Source organism: Homo sapiens, chromosome X, assembly GCF_000001405.40.
Source record: "Homo sapiens chromosome X, GRCh38.p14 Primary Assembly".
Classification (NCBI taxonomy): domain Eukaryota; kingdom Metazoa; phylum Chordata; class Mammalia; order Primates; family Hominidae; genus Homo; species Homo sapiens.
Window position 1 is genome coordinate 91,882,699 of NC_000023.11, and position 21,608 is coordinate 91,904,306.

General features: G+C 34.9%; 1 protein-coding gene across 15 annotated transcripts in view; it reads left to right on the plus strand.

Annotated features, from left to right (window-relative positions):
- Window positions 1-21,608, plus strand: part of PCDH11X (protocadherin 11 X-linked) — an 843,856-nt gene that overhangs the window by 103,324 nt on the left and 718,924 nt on the right. The window contains exon 7 of one of the 15 annotated variants that reach the window (XM_047441995.1): window positions 209-4,608. The exons of the other annotated variants lie outside the window; for them this stretch is intronic. Within the exon in view, the coding sequence (XP_047297951.1) occupies window positions 209-253 (45 nt within the window). The 3' untranslated portion in view covers window positions 254-4,608. Of the gene's footprint in view, window positions 1-208; window positions 4,609-21,608 lie in introns of those variants that run through there. 15 annotated transcript variants of the gene reach the window in all.

Here is a 21,608-nt window from a genome sequence, read left to right on the forward strand (position 1 = left end):
TGTAGATATGATACATGGATTTGAAATGATAATTGCAGTCTGAGTTAGCTTGGAATAGGATTGGTATTCACTATTGTAAAATTCAGTAACTTTGACTCTGCATTTATATTTTGGTAATGCAAATTTTAACCATGAAGCATGCTTGGCAAATGAAACTCCTAGAACACAACCATCTGATTTTGATAACGTGTTATTTTTCTTGTCCTAGACTGATTCCAGGACATCAACTATTGAAATCTGCAGTGAGATATAACTTTCTAGGAACAACAAAATTCCATTCCCCTTCCAAAAAATTTCAATGATTGTGATTTCAAAATTAGGCTAAGATCATTAATTTTGTAATCTAGATTTCCCATTATAAAAGCAAGCAAAAATCATCTTAAAAATGATGTCCTAGTGAACCTTGTGCTTTCTTTAGCTGTAATCTGGCAATGGAAATTTAAAATTTATGGAAGAGACAGTGCAGCACAATAACAGAGTACTCTCATGCTGTTTCTCTGTTTGCTCTGAATCAACAGCCATGATGTAATATAAGGCTGTCTTGGTGTATACACTTATGGTTAATATATCAGTCATGAAACATGCAATTACTTGCCCTGTCTGATTGTTGAATAATTAAAACATTATCTCCAGGAGTTTGGAAGTGAGCTGAACTAGCCAAACTACTCTCTGAAAGGTATCCAGGGCAAGAGACATTTTTAAGACCCCAAACAAACAAAAAACAAAACCAAAACACTCTGGTTCAGTGTTTTGAAAATATTCACTAACATAATATTGCTGAGAAAATCATTTTTATTACCCACCACTCTGCTTAAAAGTTGAGTGGGCCGGGCGCGGTGGCTCACGCCTGTAATCCCAGCACTTTGGGAGGCCGAGGCGGGTGGATCACGAGGTCAGGAGATTGAGACCATCCTGGCTAACACGGTGAAACCCCATCTCCACTAAAAATACAAAAAATTAGCCTGGCGTGGTGGCGGGCGCCTGTAGTCCCAGCTACTCGGGAGGCTGAGGCAGGAGAATAGCGTGAACCCGGGAGGCGGAGCTTGCAGTGAGCCGAGATGGCGCCACTGCACTCCAGCCTGGGTGACAGAGCAAGACTCTGTCTCAAAAAGAAAAAAATGTTCAATGATAGAAAATAATTTTACTAGGTTTTTATGTTGATTGTACTCATGCTGTTCCACTCCTTTTAATTATTAAAAAGTTATTTTTGGCTGGGTGTGGTGGCTCACACCTGTAATCCCAGCACTTTGGGAGGCCGAGGTGGGTGGATCACCTGAGGTCAGGAGTTCAAGACCAGTCTGGCCAACATGGCGAAACCCCGTCTCTTCTGAAAAATACAAAAATTAGCCGGGCGTGGTAATGGGCGCCTGTAATCCCAGCTACTCGGGAGGCTGAGGCAGGAGAATTGCTTGAACCCAGGAGGCGGAAGTTGCAGTGAGCCGAGATCGTGCCGTTGCACTCCAGCGTGGGTGACAAAGCAAGACTCCGTCTCAAAAAAAAAAAAAAAAAAAAAAGAAAAAAAGTTATTTTTGTTGTAATAATGTTTTCTTTTTCTATAAATATTTTCAAAGAAAGAGGTCCTTTCTATTTTTATCTGTCAAAAGGAGAATGTAAAGTTCATACTCCCTGATATTTTGAAAAAAAGTATATTGATATTTCTTATATTACGAAACATAATTCCAGTCATATGAGGGTGGAAACAACGATTGAGATAGGAGATTTCAAAAAGATTTTATCCCAACTTTGAAACTACCTAAGAAAAATGTGAGGTTGCTAGAGTAACTTATTTAAATAAGTCTGTTTTATTTCTCTAGCATTAAATTACTAAATATACATCATTGCTTTGAGTAATTTTTCCTTTAAAATGAATTCACTTTTCACAGTAAGTCAACTAACTCATTTCCTACACGAATGAGAAAATGCCTCATATTTTGTGTACATTATATTTTATTGAGGAAAGAATGACATGTTCCAATTTTATGCTATATTCTTAAACTATTTATGACTTACTAACAGTACTAACAGAATTTTTTAAAATCATGTTTATTGGGATAAAAAGGGAGTACAAAGGACCCTTATAATGATTACATAGCATATGCTTCCTGAATTTTAATTCAAATGTTAATTATGTATCATTTTACCTTTAAAAGTGTGAATAGGATTTGGTCTGTTTTGTATGTACATTAACGTTAGTGTATTATTTGAAGTGTTCTTTGATGTGAATGTATTTAGAAAAGGTTTATGCTCTGTTCAGTATTTCAAATTAGTGTAATTCTTGGATATTTAATATATAGGTAATATTTTAAACAAGTTTCTGTTAAAATTTAGTGTTCCCATTAACTCCGTACAGAATCCCTTGTATTTCCAATATGTCAGGTTCCATGAATGTACATGCTATCTGGTTGTTTAAACATTACTTAGTTGATTATAATGACTGTGAGTATAACTACTTTTACTGCTTATGGTAGATATCATGTGAGTTACAATATTATATTACATACTCTTAAACAACTGTTGTAGAAAAGTTGCTTGAAATTAAAATACACACTTGTACAAGTTATTCACATAGAACAAGTTTGCAGTTACTCCCCTTTTATTCTTGATAAATATTTCAGTTTAGTTCAAATCATTCCAAGGAATGTAAAAATTGAATCAACTTATTATATTCCTAAAATCAGTGCCCTGCAGGTAGCAAGATATACCTAGAGTGGAGGTTTCCAAAATCTACAGTCTCAATTTAATTTTGAATAAAATGACGAAGCCCAGAAAAGTGAATCAGAAGTTGAAGTGTCCCATAATAAGCTGTCATGGCTTCATGATCATTTGTGTATGTAATTATTATAAAAATGCATTTGCATTTTTATTGCTTGTGTCATGACTAGCCTGGCCTTTCCTTTCCTTTTCTGCACACACTGAACTAAGGGAGAATACCTTGTTTTTCTTCCATTTCAGTGAACCTTTCCTTCATAACTGTAATGAGTAAAGGTCCTAATCACTCCTTTGTATATATGAAGATGAAAATTCCTTGAAATAATTATCCAGAATTTCTTTAAAAGCATTCCTCAATGGTTTTATGAGTGCTGTATTTGAAGAAGATTAAAATAGAAACTTTATTTTTAAAGCTGTGACTCCATCTCTTAGAATGCAGCGTCTCTGAGAAAGGAACTTCTAAACTGACTTCTGCTTTGGGCTAAAATATTTACCCATATAAGCCAATGATAGTACAGAGATTTAACAGTATTTAAATTTGGGCCATAGATGAAAATGAATTCTACTTTTGACTAGTAACTATTCTTGATCCATCCTTTGCTTTTGTTTGAGAGAATATTATCTCTATTTGAGAACAACATGGAAGGCATTGAAACTAGTTTTCCACAAAGGCCAGAGGACAAAAATATTTATTTCCTTACTTGATTCCTTCTTATCAGTTGACCTGGTCGCATCTTTAATTTAATTGATATTATTATTACGTTTGCCTTGCAAGTTCTCAGATATCTCCAACCTTTTGTGTTGTCATTCATCGACTACGGGAATATTCTCAATGAAATGTCCTTGATGGTCTCTCTGGTTCTTATTCTAGTCATGAAAAGGAAAAGACAAAAAGATAGCAAATCTTAAAACTAGTAAATAAAAGGAACTTGTAGTGAACTTTGTCCATTAAATTATAAGTAGCTTACCTGATGAGCTACAGTGTACTGTATACTTTCTCCCCTGCAAGCACTCAAAGAAATATTATTTGATCAAAATCTATAGTGCATAAATTAAACAAAAAATACTGAAATATATTCTCATTTTATTTTAATTATGCAAGTTTATTTTTAATGATATGATATTTAAGCTATTATATTTCTCACTTTTTTATTTTCAATGATTTAAATGTAAAAATTATAAAACAATTTTAATCTCATTCATTAATTCATCTTTCATGTATAAGTCTGTTTTCTCTGTTGACCACCCTGTCCACATTATGAATAAAAATATGTATATACTTGGCCGGGCGCGGTGGCTCATGCCTGTATTCCCAGTACTTTGGGAGGCCAAGGCGGGAGGATCACAAGGTCAGGAGATCGAGACCATCCTGGCTAACACAGTGAAACCCCGTCTCTACTAAAAATACAAAAAATTAGCTGGGCGTGGTGGCGGGCGCCTGTAGTCCCAGCTACTCGGGAGGCTGAGGCAGGAGAATGGCATGAACCCGGGAGGCGGAGCTTGCAGTGAGCCAAGATGGCGCCACTGCACTCCAGCCTGGGCGACAGAGCTAGACTCCATCTCAAAAAAAAAAAAAAAAGAAAAGAAAAGAAAAGAAAATATATATATACTTTAGAATAATTTTTAGAAGTTGAGTTTATATTCAATCAATATTTACTAACCTTGTCATTTCACCATGAAATACTAACTGCATCATTTTGCTGTTTTGTCACCTGCACTCCTCACTGTTGAATTCCATGTTGTAATTGTATATCTAGCTAGATGTGATGTGCAGCCTGAGTGTAACAGAAGCACTACAGGACAAGCAGACCTTGAGTAATCTTATATAAATCTAAGCCACATTCCATAAATGCTTCTTGTAGGTGCTTTTGTGTAATAAACGTATTTTCTTGGCTTTTATGAAGCTTAGTTTGTGTTTATTTTAAATATGACTTAGCTTCCTAGAATATTCAAAGATTCTGTGATAATACAAAGCTATATTTCTTGCATATAATTAGTATTTTTAGAAAGAACTACAGTGCATTTTTTCATACATCGTGCGTGTTCATACATGACATCTTTGGTTTAATGTATTTAGAATTAGGAGTAGACTTTTAAAATTCTAGAGTAGCCATAGGTTTCTATTTTTATTGTACATGTGATACACATTTGTTGTAGAAAAATCTAGAAAATTGTATAAAGCTTTTAGATGAAGAATTTTAAAATTATTTGTTTTTATTTCAAGCTAGAGCAGTGAGTTCTTTATAACAGTAATTCTGTTTGAAGGCTATATAACTTTTTGAAGTGGTGCATTTTAAAATTATAGAATTATGCTTATTGTTTTATAAACTATACATCCAGGACTTTTTACATGTATTGAAGACTGATTTATTTATTAAACATATTGTTTATTTTTATAGATGTATGATTGGACAAATTTATGTAATAACATACCTTGATTAGTTGATAGTGTAATACAGAGGCATGTTACATATCTCCACCATGAGACTAAACTCCCCTGAGTAAAAATATCAAGTCTTGATGAAAAAGCTTTTATACTTTAAAAAAATACCATCTAATATTTTCCAAAAGTTCCCTTAGAACAACCTAGTTACATAATTATTTCCCAGAATTTTCAGAACTCTTTTAATTTTCCTATATTCTAGATATTTGCAACCGAAATTGTTTTAAATGTTCCTTTTGAAATAGTTAATTACATTTAATTATCCATACATACACAAATATATCCAATTAATAATAAAACTTTTTTGTCAAGTGAAAAAAATCACAAATCACATTTCATTAGATTTCAGGTAGTCAAATTGACATAATAATGAAAATGAACTATTCCAATAGATTTTCTAGAAATATTTGTACTTTATCCCTTATCCTAGAACCTTATATGTACCAATTATATATTGATTTACTTCATAAAATGTTACTATCTTTTGAATACAGTTGACTTTTAAAAAAATTTTCAGTGGCCAGGCGCAGTAACTCTCATGCCTGTAATCCCAGCACTTTGGGAGGCCGAGGCAGGTGGATCGCTTGAGCTCAGGAGTTTCAGACCAGCCTGGGCAACATGGTTGAAACCCTGTCTCTATCAAAAATGCAAAAACTTAGCCGGGTTTGGTGGTGCATATCTGTGGTCTCAGCTACTTGTGAGGCTGAAATGGGAGAATCTCTTGAGTGGCGGGGGTTGTGGGGGAGGTTGCAGTGAGCCTAGATCACGCCACTGCACTCCAGCCTGGGTGACAGAGTGAGATTCCATCTCAAAAAAATTTTTTTAAATAAATAAATAAAAACATTTTCATTCTTTTTATCTTAAAACTTGGAAGAAACATTAGATACAATAATACTTTCATTAGTCAATTAGAGAAAAGTTTAAGTAATACGGCTTTGACTATTCAGTAGTAGTGAAAAGTAAAACAAATATTGAACTCTAAAGAAAAATGTTATTTACAGAAATCTATAAAATAAACTTTAAAATGTATTTACTTATTATATATCAGTTCTAACCTTAATTACAAAATCAATGCAGAGCACCATTTCAATGATATATTATAACTAAAGAGAATTGATCATAAACAACTGTTACGTTATCCAAAAATATTTTCAGTAATTCAAACATGCAACTTGAATAGTTGTTGAGTGACACAAACTTGAAGCAACTAAAATTATTTTTTTAAATGCACTGGCTCTTTTGACATGTAAATACAGAAATAGTCTCATATTCAAGGATGGAACAAATACACAAAAATGGAATTTCATGGACTCTCAACACTAGTTTGTGACCTCTGAAATGAGAGACCATATTTTATTATTATTTTTATTTATTTCATCTCTTGTTATTCAAAACTATGAATTGAGTGTATTTTTTGCAGAAAATTATACTCATCATTTATGATACTCAGATTAAATAATTACTTTTTTGTTTTGTTTTGCTTTTTAAGACATAGTCTTGCTCTGTCTCCCAGGCTGGAGTGCAGTGGCCTGATCTCAGCTCACTGCAACCTCCGCCTCCTGGGTTCAAGAGATTCTCCTGTCTCAGCCTCCTGAGGGACTATAGTCATGTGCCACCACACCTGGCTAATTTTTGTATTTTTAGTAGAAACGGGGTTTCGCCATGCTGACCAGGCTGTTCTCAAACTCCTGACCTCAGGTGATCCACCCGCCTCAGCCTCCCAAAGTGCTGGGATTACAGGCGTGAGCCAGCGCACCTGGCCAAATAATTGGTTTTTTTACACAAATTTAATTATCCAAAGAAACTGCTGAGTTATCTTCCAGATTGTTATCATGACTGTGTTTACATGATACCAAAACATATGGAGGCAAAATAGAATTTTTTACTACATATAGGGATATTTTGCTGACCTGACAGAATTATTTGACTACATAAAGACACAGAATTTAGTACTACAGAATGATATTGTAAATAGTTTCATTTTCGATAGAAAAAAGAGTTTTACATGCTATATAAAGTTGTCGTTATCTGAATCTAGAATAACTGATAACAGTTAACAATGGAATTCCACACAGTGCTGCAATTCAATTTTACATTTATACATTTTAGTTGTGTATAAAGACATACACTTATTTATTTCAAAATGCACACAAATTAAAGAAATGAGAGGGAATGTACACTTAAATCTTTTTAGGTGTCTGAGCTGAAAGATAGATGTCTAGAAGTTAATATACCTAATTGTGTGTCTAGAGGAAATGTCATATTAATTTGATGTTTAAGCAGTTCTAATGTATTGGTATTAAAATGGGTTAGTGTATGTGTGAGCACAGATATGTTTGCATATATGTGTGCATATTTATGTTTGTCAAATTTCTAGCAGAAAAAAGTAAGATAAACTTCAAACTAAAGAAAGCTTGTTAAAAGATTTTGCATCTACATTTACAATGTTATTGTCCCCTTTTACACCATTATGCCTCGTTTCTAAACTATAATCACCCAGTATCCCTGATATCATCCCATATATAATCTTTCATTTAGAAAATCCTTGTCATATCCAGTACATTCTGTATATGTCCTCATGTTTTTTTCTTTTAAAAAAATTATTTGTCTGTTTCCCAAATGATCACAGATCCAGTAATGTTAAAGTACATATAAAAAATTAAATTGATTTTTGTTATCTAAGTACTAGTACAGATTCTGCTTCTCTTGCACACACACACAAATAAAGACAAATTTGTTTTCCATAATAGCCAACTTCTGCCCAGTTGTTATAACTAAAATATATCCAAGTAAAAGTCCATTAAAACAATCCTCTTTATTTTGCATTGTTACATTACTTAATTTTAATAATTATGAAAATAAAAAGAAAGAAGTAGTTCTCTGTTAGTCTTCTGTACAATGTCAGATTTGCTGTTTCATGTGTCTTCAACTTTATGGGTTTAATTTATGTCTTCATCAAATGGCTATGGTATGGATTTACCATAATTGTATACATGCATACATGCCTACCTATGTATATATAAACAAACATTTTTGTAAACAGCTCAGTGAGGACTTTGGACTGGCATAAATCATAGGAATATGATTATGAGGATACATCCAATTTTCAGATTGGGCAATGTATACAGTTTATTATCATTTCTGATTTTGGGTAGAGTTAGTACTAAGAACAGCATTGAAGAAAAGCAGTATAACATTAAAATTAAGAAGATTTAAAATACAAGAGGATTCATAACAGTCACTTTTAAAATATTGTTTTGGCTTTCTACTTTGGAGCTGTAATTTTAAAAAAAGAATGAACAGGTTTTTGTATGAATATGTTAGAATGACTAATTATAGAGCATCTTTCAACTGGAATACATGTAGATACTAACACCTGGTTGTATTTGATGTAATTTCAGTGCATACAGTGTGTATAATCTGTATTAAGTGAAATACTTATGAATAAAGTTGTTTCTGCATTGCAATAACACATCTTCTGATATTTTTTGAAGTGCTTCTTGTCAGCAGGGGCTACTAGTTTCATTAACATCATCAAGGATCCTAAAATATTTTTAGCACAATGACATCCTACATTCTTCATGGTATAGCTCATTATCTGTGCTGGATTAACCAGAATTTTTATATTGTCATTTCTGTTCACCACCATTGTGGTGTAACTGATCTTTTTCGATTAACCCAAAGCAATGAAGTAGTCATATTTACTAAAGTTTTAGTTTCGTGCGTTTTATTGTATTAACATTTTTTGAATATTGGTAATGTGGTATCATTTATGAACCACTGTATTTGATAAAGCATTATCGATAATGGAGTTTACCATGAGTTCAGACAAGATAAATTAAATATTTCTCAAACTCCTACTGTGAGTAAGGCAATGTGGAGAAGGTCAATGGTTATGGTGAGGGATGGGGTATAGGGGGCTAGAAATGTAGGATGACCAAGGTTCTCCCCTAGTTGCTATTACTGTAAAAAGCCCCCTGTCCAAGGAGTTGAACTGCAAGTATGTTTAATAAAAAAACAAAAAACAAACAACTTTCCTTTTTCCAGTGCAGAAAATTTGTGAGTATATAATATCAGGGTTTAAAAAAAAAAAGAAAAAGAAAAAAAGCACATAAAAGTGACAAAATATAAAATTTCAGTGTTTACTATAATAATTAGAGGGGTGTGTGTGTGTGTGTGTGTGTGTGTGTGTGTGTTAGAGAGAGAGAGAGAATATCACTAGTAAACCACCTCCCAAGTATGTATTGGGTATGGGCATGCATGTACTTAACCCATTTCAGGAAGCATCCTAAAGTCAGCAACACTTTCCTCTCCTCAGTCACATCCAAGCCAACAGCTATATTATGTTGATAATACCTCCAAAATACCCCTGACATTTGTCCCGTTGCCATTTCCTTTTTCCAGTCTTAGTCACCAGTTACCTGTTCCACTACTAACAGGTTGCCTTACTTTCTACTTTCATTTGTTCAATCAATTTTCTACCCTGTACCCATAATACTCCTAAAACACAGGTCTGATCCAGTGAAGCCTGACAGAAAAGCTTCTCTTTCCTCATTGCACATAGAATAAAGCCTCAATTTTTATATTTTTCAAGGGACTTTGCAATCTTAACCAGTTCTACTTGTTCATTCTATCTCCTACCTTGCCATGCACCTCATATTTTTGTCATTTCTTCTGCTACCCCCTCTTCCCTGATCATGGCATGCACTTTGATGCCTCCATAAATCTGCACAATTTACCAGAATTATTTTGAGGACTTTTTTTTTTGTTAAGACACCGCTGCAAGGACAAAAACAAAAATAAACTGCAATTGGCGATATTGAAGTGCAACTGTGGAGATAGGACAAGAACACATTTTTTTTTTTTTTTGAGACGGAATCTCGCTCTGTTGCCCAGGCTGGAGTGCAGTGGCACGATCTTGGCTCACGGCAACATCCGCCTCCCGGGTTCAAGCAATTTCAGGCTAATTTTTGTATTTTTAGTAGAGACTGGGGTTACACCCTGTTGACCAACCTGCTCTCTAACTCCTGACCTCAAGTGATCCGCCCGCCTCATTCTCCCAAAATGCTAGGATTACAGGCGTGAGCCACCACGCCCGGCCAAGAACACAATTTTAATACCAGAGAGTATATGACAAAAATGAAGAAATGCTACCTGATTTTATTAAAAATGAAACAAGTCGGCATGCTATCATTTCCTTCCATATCTTTTCAAATCTTAGCATCAACCTTACATAATTCTTATAAAATTAAAATGTTTCAAATAAATGACTAGGTCATATAACCTGTAAACATCAGTTTCTGGAAACTATTCCCAGAAAATTGTTACATTGCTTTTCTTCATTAATTCTAGAAAGATTTTTAAATCTCTATTTTGGATATTTTGATTGTTGTTACTCCTTTTGTCCATGAGTTATACTCAAAAAGTATCAAAGGAAAAATTTAATGCATTTATTGATCTGGATATAGTCCATATACAAAGGGGTGAGAGAACCGCATTTTTTTTTTTTTTTTTTGAGATGGAGTCTCGCTCTGTCGCCCAGGCTGGAGTGCAGTGGCGCGATCTCGGCTCACTGCAAGCGCTTTTAGGCATTTTAGCACAAGAAGCATCTCAGTGTGTGATTTCTTCAAAGAAAAATATTCCCAGTATGCTATATGGCGAGAAAAAAAGACATTCTTGTCTTCAATAGAGGGACATTTTCTGTGGTGAATAATCACAAATCTATATTGACGACTATGGTTTGGATGTGTTTGTGTAGACATAAATCCTGTCGCCGAAGTACTGAGATGAAATGTTCACCCCAAATAGAAATCATTGTGTCTCTCCGCCCCTCTGCTGAAAATCAAAGTTATCAATTTCGGGAAAACATGAACAGATGGAGAAACCATGGGATATCAAATGTACATATATGTATGTCCAAATTATAACATGGCAGAGCTACTCTGAAAATGCAGAAACTACATATCCCTACTCAAAACTGACTATATATATATAAAATTTTAAGGAATGAACTTCTTGGCACTTACATTGAAAGCAAATATGCTACCTGCTTCCTAGAAATAGAACGGATAAAAATAAACCACCGAGTTCTTAAGTTAGCCCTTTTTACTTTCGTTCTTACTACGACATAAAAAGTCTTTCTAAATTATATGTAGGAAACATTCTGGGAAATTGGGGTTTTGTTTTGTTTAGTTTCTCTTTCATATCTTTCCTAGACAATCTTATATCAGGAGATTCTTAACGCCAGCTTTAGGATAAGACATTTCCATGGTACATGTTTTATAAAAAATCGTGACTTATGTCACCTCTTTTTGTAAAGGAAATGAACACCATCATGAATAGGAAAATAATGTTTCTTTTGCTCAGTTACAACTATAGAGAATTTTCAATCATCCCAGATAAAATAAAAGCAGCTATTAACATTCTTAAAGTCGGTGACTATTTTCTTCAGTGCACATACCTTGGTAATAGAGGGTCATTATAAAGGGGTAATATAGTGAAAGACTAGATATGAAGACAAGACTAAGGACTCAATAACATGAAAAACATAGCAAGAACAGTACATTACCATATTTCTAGTGAACAAATGTTGCTTTTATGTTTGTGTGGTGTTTTAGATTTTCTTGAAGTGCTTCCATCAGGGCATCGGAAAGATTTTTATTCATAAACGCACCCCTCTTATTCCCTTTTAATCTGATAGAGGCCAAAAGTATGTTTTACTCCGATTTATTTCTTAGAAACAATTATATCTAAAATGAGTCTAACTGAAAAGGTACAATAACAATATTCCAAATATGCCTTAACTCTATTTCTACCTCAAATATCACTGTGCTTATGTATGAAATTTCAAATTTCATGGTCCATTTTTTTTGTTTCATGGAGAAAAATACCATGTCCCTTCTGATATGAAATCAGAATCCCAAGAGACAACTCAGAAAATAGACTTGCAACATATCCTTTTTTAGGTTAGTCTGGCATGTAGAATGTGTTAGAACCCCAGATTGGCTACCACATATAGACATGGGAAGTGTTGGATATACTAACAGATAGAGACTTGTCCTATTAACACATTAAAGAAACATGCTGTAGTTCAGACCTTCTCATCCTCTGGGCACCCTTTGTGACCCTATGTTCACATAGGGGCATGCACCTTGACTCACATAATTTCTGTTAATCCAATAAGAGAAAAAATCTCAGTCAACTACACACTTTCTGGATAAGGTGACTCTTTTTACTCAGGAAAACAGTTTTCTGATCATGTTCCCTTATAATACATTTTTATGCCTTTCTTAGCAGTATTACTCTGTGGTATACTTCAGTCAAATCACCTGAACTCTCTCATTCCCTGAGCGGTGGTCACTGTACTCATCACAATGTCTATATACACTGTGTGGAGAGTAAAGTTTATTTAACCACATAAGCTGCTATTCTGAAAATACATTTTTCACATTGAGAGAAGTATAGTTTGTGTAGCTAAAGCTATACAAGGTGGTTGAGTGTTGGGAAAAAGAGATTGAGACAGGGAGAGGGTGCTAGTGCTGAAAAGATCAAAAGCCTAACAGGAAAAGAGAAAGAAGTGGTAGGATACAAAAGATCAAAACTATGGATTCTCTCGGACATTTCCTCAGTTTCATCAACCTACATATTTATTAGTTTGCCTCTCCCTGGTAATGCCTAGGATTGGTCCTTGCACAAGTTATCATTTCTGAAGGTTTCACATATTCATGCCCCCAAGTTTTAACACCTTCTCTCATCTCTGACAGAAATATCAAATAATTTTATATATTCTACATGAGGTTTCCCCTTGCCCAAAGAAACCTAACAGTCCAGAAAGATATTTATGTAAGTTTGATTTCTGTACAGATGTATATAATACTGATATTATATATAATACATATTATATTATATATGTATATATTTATGTGTATCATATATTCATTATATTACACATTCCATATATTTACATATTACATGTATAATATGTAATACACTTAACATTACATACATTATACATATATACATATACATATGTTATGTATTATATATTATACATATTATATACATATACACGTATATTATGTATATGTATATATGTATATTATGTACGTGTATGTAATACACGTACATAGTATATATAAATATAAAGCTAAAATACAGTTAATAGAACTTAAATTTATGTCCCAATTTGAAAAAGAAAAAGATGAAGAGTGTATTCTTCTAATAGGAACAAATTTTTGTTTTGGTCTTGGAGAAATATTTTACTTACTTAATTAAGTAATAAATATATTTTTTGAGACAGAGTCTCTCTCTGTCACCCAGGCTGGAGTGCAGTGGTGCAATCTCGGCTCACTGCAGTGTAAACCTCCTGTGCTCAGGTGATTCTCCCACTTCAGCCTCCCGAGTAGCTGGAACTACAGACACGTGCCACCAGACTTGGCTATTTTTGTGTGTGTGTCTTTTTAGTAGAGATGAGGTTTCAGCATGTTGGCCAGGCTGGTCTCAAACTCCTGGACTCAAGCAATCCACCCACATGGGCCTCCCAGAGTGCTGGGAGTGAGCCACCGCACCGCACCTGGCCTTATTTTATATTGAGAATGCTCTCTAGTCTTCTGGTTATGTTATACTGCCTGACCTAATTTTCAAGACTGTAGTATTACCTATAATCTTTATGAGATTTATTGTTTTACCTGTCTTCAGCTTCTATTTTAGAGATGGAATGGATCCTTAAAGATCATGTAGTATCCTAGTCTGCCTCTATTATTTGACAAATGATGGAACCAAGGCCCAGAGAAAGAACTGACCTTTAATGAGCAGCTATTTTATGTCAGGTAATGTGCTAGGTACCATACCTATGTTAGTTCTTTATCTCAGAGAGGTTATAACATTAGTAAGTGGCAGAGAGACAGTCTATAGTTAAGTCTGATTGACTCTTAAGTTCTCCTTCCACTATACTACATCAGAATTCTGGCAGATCCATGGCTCCCCAATCTCCTGGTTTGAAGTCCATAGGCCCTTCCCTTTTAGCACTAACCTATTACATTTCTCCTCTGCTCTATAAAACACGAAGTTCAATTATATTTTCCCAACACTCTTTGCACCTTCCTAGATGCATTCTCTTCTATTTAAGCTCAGGCAGATAATCTTGTATATGATTATTTTTATTAGATTTTCATAAAGTTGGCAAGCACTACATTCATTCTGGAAGCTGCTATTATTAGCAGATATTTGCCATGGAGCATAATTTCCTATGAACACATCAGTTGGGAAATGCAAATAGCATACACAAGGAAGTCTTTCTTCCTTCACCTACTCCCATTTCTAATATATGAACCCAGGACAAACTTTGAAGATAGTAGCTATTCAAAAAGTTTTAACTGAACTTTCTGCAGATATTGTGTTGCAAGCCCTAGCTCTGTTTTCCATTCTGCCTTTGCAATCTTTAAAATATAATATGATTCTAATGTCCTGCAGTTTGGTAAGTCACAGGATGAGTTTGATGGAGGAGGGAATATATATGCATCACCAAATCTAAGTGTAAAGTAATTTTGACATCAATTTATAATGAAAAGGAGCATTTTGATACATTAAATATAGCTATGAATTTCTACCTAGCCTGATTAGACTTTTTGGTAATCACCAGAAATATATATCAAATATGGATCATCAGATATCTATAGAAGGGAAGGAAAGTTATCAATTCAAACAATATGAATTTTCAATTTAGTCAGAATTACTAACTTTTGCTTATATAACATAAATTGGAAATATATTTTGTTTCTGGATTGTGCTTCCTAATTTAACTATTTAATTCATATGTAACAATTGCAACATTAATTTTTAATATTGTCAAAGATATACAATGCCATACTATAAATACATTTTGTTCCAAAGAGGCAAAGTTCATCATTTATTTAGGAAGCTGCATTAACTCCTTACGTCCACTTAGGGAACACACATCAAATGCCTCTGCTACATTAAGTTCTAGAAATTAGAATTTATAAAAAGGAGAAAAAGAGGGAAGGATTAATTCAAGGAAAATTCCGTGAGTGTTTGCTAGGTGCCAGGCATAGTGCTAGGCACACTGAAAAGCAAGGTGTGGTGGGACATGACTGGGCTTTAAAGACAGACCTTTTTTTTCCAAATCTGGATTTGCAGGTTTTAGCTGCATGGTCTTTATCCTCTTTGAACCTCAGGATCTTCATCTTTCTAGTGATATCAAGATGTCTAATCAACAGGATCATGAGGAGTAAATGAGATAGTATAAAAAAATGTACATAGCACAGCATAAAGGAGTCAATAAGTATAAGACTTCTTCTACATAGATGAACTCATCTAATCTTCTTATAATATTACGAGCTAGATATCATTGGTATCATACTCATTTTAAAGATTGAGCTCTCAGAGAGCTCAATAATTTGCCCCAGCCGAATTTAGCCAATTTCTTGTTCATTCTCCTGTACCAAAGCTATCTCAGATCAACAGTCTAGGTGATTCTACTTTATTAACTGCTTAATTAGAGCTCACTTGCATGGTAGGAATGTTGCTTCCTAAACCCTGCCATGTGTGTTCTTTATGGGAGCCTGAGTAGAAATATTGAGTATAGCTCTGGGCAGTAATGTAACTTTAAAGCCTTTCCAGTTGTAGGTGAATGTACTTTTAAATATAGCTGATATAAAGTTTTGTCTTCTAATGATAGTGAAAATTACTGACAATATTGACTAAGTGGTAGAATCATAAAATGTCAGATGAAGATAAGAGTCAGAATGTGTGCATGACTTGCCCACGGTTATTCAGTTAGATTTTAATAGAATCAGGTGATGAGTTTTAATCTCCTGACTTTCAGTTCAGGATTCTTACCACTGCATGCACATTCTATTTACTATGTGACAACACTGTAACAACTGTATGAAATGGCATTAAATACTATTAAAATTAAGAAAAAGTGAAGCTAACCAAAATAATACCATTCTAGGAGCCAGACCATTGTTGAGGTTTAGCTTTCCTATCTAATATATCTACTGTGACCTTGGAAAATCAATCATCTTCTCTGTCTGAGACTCAATTTCTTCTTGTGTTAAATGGGGATGATGGATTGTTCAGAACCTCAATGAGATGACTTTTCAAAAAGCATTTGTAAAATGAGAACTTTTCATAATTGTTACCAATACCACGTTTATTAGGGTTCTCTAGAGGGACAGAACCAATAGTATAGATGTATATATTACGGGGAGTTTAATAAGGAGTATTGACTCACACTATCACAAGATGAAGTCCCACAATAGGCTGACTGCAAGCTGAGGAGCAAGGAAGCGAGTTCGAGTCCCCAAACCTCAACAGTAGGGAAGTCGACAGTGCAACCTTCAGTCTGTGGTCGAAGGTCCAAGAGTCCAAAAGCTGAAGAACTTGAAGTCCGATGTTTGAGGGCAGGAAGCATCCAGCATGGGAGAGAGATGTAGGCTGGAAGACTCAGCCAGTGTATTCTTTCCAGTTTCTTCTGCCTGCTTTTATTCTAGCCGTGCTGGCAGCTGATTAGATTGTGTCCACCGATTGAGGGTGGGTCTGCCTTTCCCAGTCCACTGACTCAAATGTTAATCTCCTTTGCCAACACCCTCACAGACACATGCAGGAACAATACTTTGCAAACTTCAATCCAATCAAGTTGACACTCAATGTTAACCATTGTAAGTCCACCCCTTTTCAACTTGAACCCATATACATCTCCTGAAATTATATATATATATACATATAAAATCTTCAAATAATTACACCTAACATAATAGAGCTATCCTTTGTATAACTGGAAACACACCAATCCCCAACCTAAATGTTATTACATAAAGTTAACGATAGTTAAATGCTGATATGAAATCAATGACTCTTATGTCACATGATAAAGAAAAAAGAAAGGAAATAAAATGAAGACATTTTCTTAGTACAAGTGTATACATGCACAAACATGTTCTTAACAAAATAAGGAAGAAACACTCATGACAATTATAGTCCTTGTTTCTGCAACTGGCCACATGGCCATAGCTGGTATTGATAACTACCTTCTTCTACTGCCCATTCTGTATTCCCTTTGCCTTCAGCAAGCACCTCAGCAGGTCGTGGTTTTTACCTGGTGGAGTGGCCCAGACCTTTATTCCTGAAGAGTCTGGACCATTTGTAGTCCTGCCTGGATTGGGCTGTTGTAGTTTCCAATTGACCTTAATCACAGGGCATGGTAATACCAAGAGATGCCCTAAGGGGTCTCCTTTATTCCATGCATACTATTCCCTACCTCCATTGTGGAGTAGTAGACTGGTTTCATCTCGGTAGTCGGGGTCAGTTACCCCAGCAAACACTGTAACTCCCTTCTTAGCCTGTTGACTTAGAGGTAGGAGGAGCCCAGAGTGGCCAGGTAGCAATCTTAACTTCCAGTTTAATGGAATTGTTGTTGTGTCTCGTGGTGGCAGCATTCCTCCCTCTGGAATTAAGACCTCTAGGCCAGCAGAACGTAATGTCATGGGAACAGGAAGCAAAAATTCTTCTAGTAGGTTACTAGGGGTGATGGTGAGTGGTGCCACTTCCACTTCCACCACTTGATTCCTGGACCTGTGAATCCTGGCTATGAGAGGAAGCAGTACCATATATTGGACAGTGATTCAGAGGATACACAGCCTTCTGGAGAACTTTGCCCCATCCCTGTAAGGCCATTCACAATTCTATCAATCCAGCTGCTTCAGGATGATGGGGAACACTGTGGAACTAAACAAGCCTTTCAACCTGCTGTACAATTAGGTTTGCTCCCTCATAAAACACTGAAATGATGGGCCTTTGATTACAGACATCTCAAGATTTTATGCAAGTATCCAAAATGTCCAACTTATGATTATATGGGGGTGACTGTAAGACTCCTGTGTTTCTGAAATGCAACTTCTAATTCATGAACTACATTTATACCAAGTATGTCTTAGAATAGCTCATAAGCACATGAAATCAAATTCCATAAAACCATGGGTTTTGTATGGCACTTAATTAAGGAAACTGAGACAGCTTTCAGTGGCAAGTAAGGCGATTTCAGAAATGGTAACTGTAGTGATTCTCCTCAAAATTAGAAAGAGATGGAGAAAACTGTTCCTGTGTGTCTACTCTGTGTCAGGCACACCGGGGCCTCAGGAAGTGAATGAGCTTCAGAATCAGGGAACATGGTTTGTAACACTGACTTTTTAGCTGCTGGGCCTTGCATAAAACTGTTTAAGATTTCTGAGCCTTAGGATCTTTAACTATAAAAATGGCAAAAATAATGTCAAACTCCCAGGTTTGTTGTGTAAATTAAATTAGATAACCTATGAAATGTGACTGGGATATAACAGGCACTTGATGAGCATTATGCCCCTTCTTCACCAGTTACCTCAACTAACCTGCCCAACTACCTGGTAGGCAAGTAATGTTGGCACATCACAAACAAAACTAGGAGACTGAGTTTCAGAGTTTCAGCAATTTGCTCAAGCTCAGGTAATTGGTAAGTGGCCTGATTGGAATTTTACCAAGATTGGCCTAACTCTCACTTCCCAGTCCTTTCCTGTCAGCCTTTCTGACTCTGGAATAAGACCTCAAATGCCACCGTTCAGTGGTAGTTTATCAACTCATAAGATTTATGTCTTTTTCACATTCTTTCTCCATAGGCATAGGGAGATATTATGTAAGTATTACTCTCTTTTCTGAATTACCAATAAATTACTTTAAGGGGGATGTTTATAATAAAATGATAAGAATATGACTTATTATGTGATTTTAATATTAGACATTTTACTCTATTATCACTCTATGATCTTTGAAATTATAAACACTTCATTCCATGAATGTGGATGGATATCTTACAAAGATAACTAATTAAAATAGGTATCCCAAGATAAAACGTAAAGACAAAATTTAATTTAATTTTTATTTGACTGGTTTCAGAATACATACTACTTAGGCTCGCCAGGCATACATTCATGAAAATAAATACCTAAAATACAAGACAGTATGGGAATAATTCCTATTTTTGAGTTTGAAGAAGCCATTAAGGGCTAGAGTAAATTGGGAAAGATTCGTGGAAGAGATTGAACATGATTTGGTCCCTAATGCAGGATTTGGAAAAATGGAGAGAAAGAAAAAGTCCCAGTTGGTAGGAATTAAATAAGCTAAAACATATGTCATATTTTTGGAGCAATGTTTTCAGCTACTGTTGAGACACATTTAAGAAGATGTTAGGGCCATGTTATTGACAATTTTGTGGAGGCAATAAAAAACAAATGAAAGAAATTTTTATATTTATTTTTGGAATAGTGTTTCTCATGTGTCCTGCTCAAATGGGAATGTTACGTCAACCACCTACACTTCCTCAATTCCCAATTGCTCTTCAAAACATCTTAATCTAGTCTCTATCCCCTCCATTCACTACTCATATGTCTCATGTAGTTAGCAGTGGCCTCCTATTTGCCAAACTCAATGGACATGTTTTATTTCCATCTTTCTGCTCTATTTGACATTTTTCCTCATTCATTCACTCCTTTTGAAGTTCTATTTTCTTAGCTTGCATGATGATATTCCCTTCTGATTTTTTTTGGCCTTCTGGTAATTCCATTTCTTTTTCTGTGTGGTAATTTCATCTGTCCACTGCATAAGTGTTAATTTTCTTAGAGTTATATCCTCAGCCTGTTCTCATCATTTTATACTCTCTCTGTTGTTTTATATATAACCTATATCCTGATGAGTTCTGATCTCCATATACAGTCCTGGTCTCTCACCTGAGATTTTGACTGATACATCAAGTTCTCCTATAAACATCTCCCCTTCACTGGTCCATGGAACTTCAAGCTCTACTCGCTCTAAATTGGATTGATTCCCTTCAACTTCCTTTTCCCAAATCTGGTTTCTTACCTACTTCAACTGATAGAGTCACCATTCATTCAAGTCACTCAAGTTAAAAATCTCAGTAACATCCTATGCTTCCTTCTCTCCCCCTCCCCTTCATTCCAATTGTTCAACAACATTTTTTTTTCTGACTTTACATTTAAAATATTTTTAAAATAATGAAAATGATAGCAGATAATATTTTTCAAAATGTACTACATGCAAGGTATGGTGCCAAGAATTTAAAAAGTATTAACTCATTTAATTTTCATACTACAGGTACTATTTTTCCCATTTCACTTATGGGGAAAATGGAGCTCAGGAAGGTTCATTGTCTTGCTATATGTCACACAAATACTATTTGGTAAAGCTGTTATTTAAATACAAATGTTTACATTCCAAATTCTGTATTCTTAAACACAAGAGTAGCATTTATTGCTTCTATCTCTACTCCTGTATCCTATTTTAAGTTCTTTTCGTGTTTTATGTGGACAACTGAGATAGCTGCTTAGCTGGCATTCATCATATCTCTAATCTTGTTTCACTCAAGTCAGCTTCCACATAGCCAATGAAGATTCTATTTCACTTGCAAATCTCATCATCCCACTCCTCTGCTTAAAATCCTTCATTGGATCCTCATAAGTTTCAGTATAAATACCCGTTTTTTAGTATACTAAACAAAACTCTCCATGGTGTGGTCTTGTGCTTAATTTTCAGCTTGAGGTCTCATTCATCCCTGGGTCATAGTTTACGCTTCAGAGATATCATATCGCTTGCAGTTTCCTACTATACAGCATGCTGGTTTTAGTTTCTACAAATTCATTCATATTTTTTTATAGTGGAGACTTGCTCTTTGCCATTCTATTTACATAACATGATTAAATTCCACAGAGTCATTGTGACTCAGCTCAGGTTCCTCTATGTGCGTGTGTGTGTGTGTGTGTGTGTGTGTGTGTGTGCGTGTATAAAATATTTGAGTAGAAAAAAATGTGATAACAAATATTTTGAGATGATTAATTAAAAATTATAATGAAAAATGGAAGGCAAGTTTTAAAGTAGGAAAATCAGCTAGGAGAACCAGAACATTGAATTAAGAACAAAATAAGGGATAAGGGCCAGGACTAGGGTAGTAGAGGTGGGAAATGAAAATAGGGACTAACGAATGAGATGGTGGAGGGGATCAAGTAGAGTATATTTTCTACAACGACTCCAAAATTGAAGGCAGTTGACTAGAAATTAGCAATTGGGGTTTGAACTAAGATAATCAGGAGTGTAAGTTTTGTAAAGAAGTAGGAGTTGAGGAGATGGAGAACAAATGTGTAGATGTTTTACATGTAAAGATGGTAAAACTCTAATTCCTTTTAACTGTGGGACTAAAGGGTGAGAAGATGGGTGTGGGGATTAAATACTTTGAAATGTAGGAAATAGTATATGATAAAGCTATTATATTATGTTAGTGCAAAGGTAATTGTGGTTTTTGCGATTAAAAGTAATGGCAAAATTACTTTTAAAAATTACTTTTGCACCAACCTAATATCATAAGTAAATGGATATTTAGCACAGTTTAACATATGAT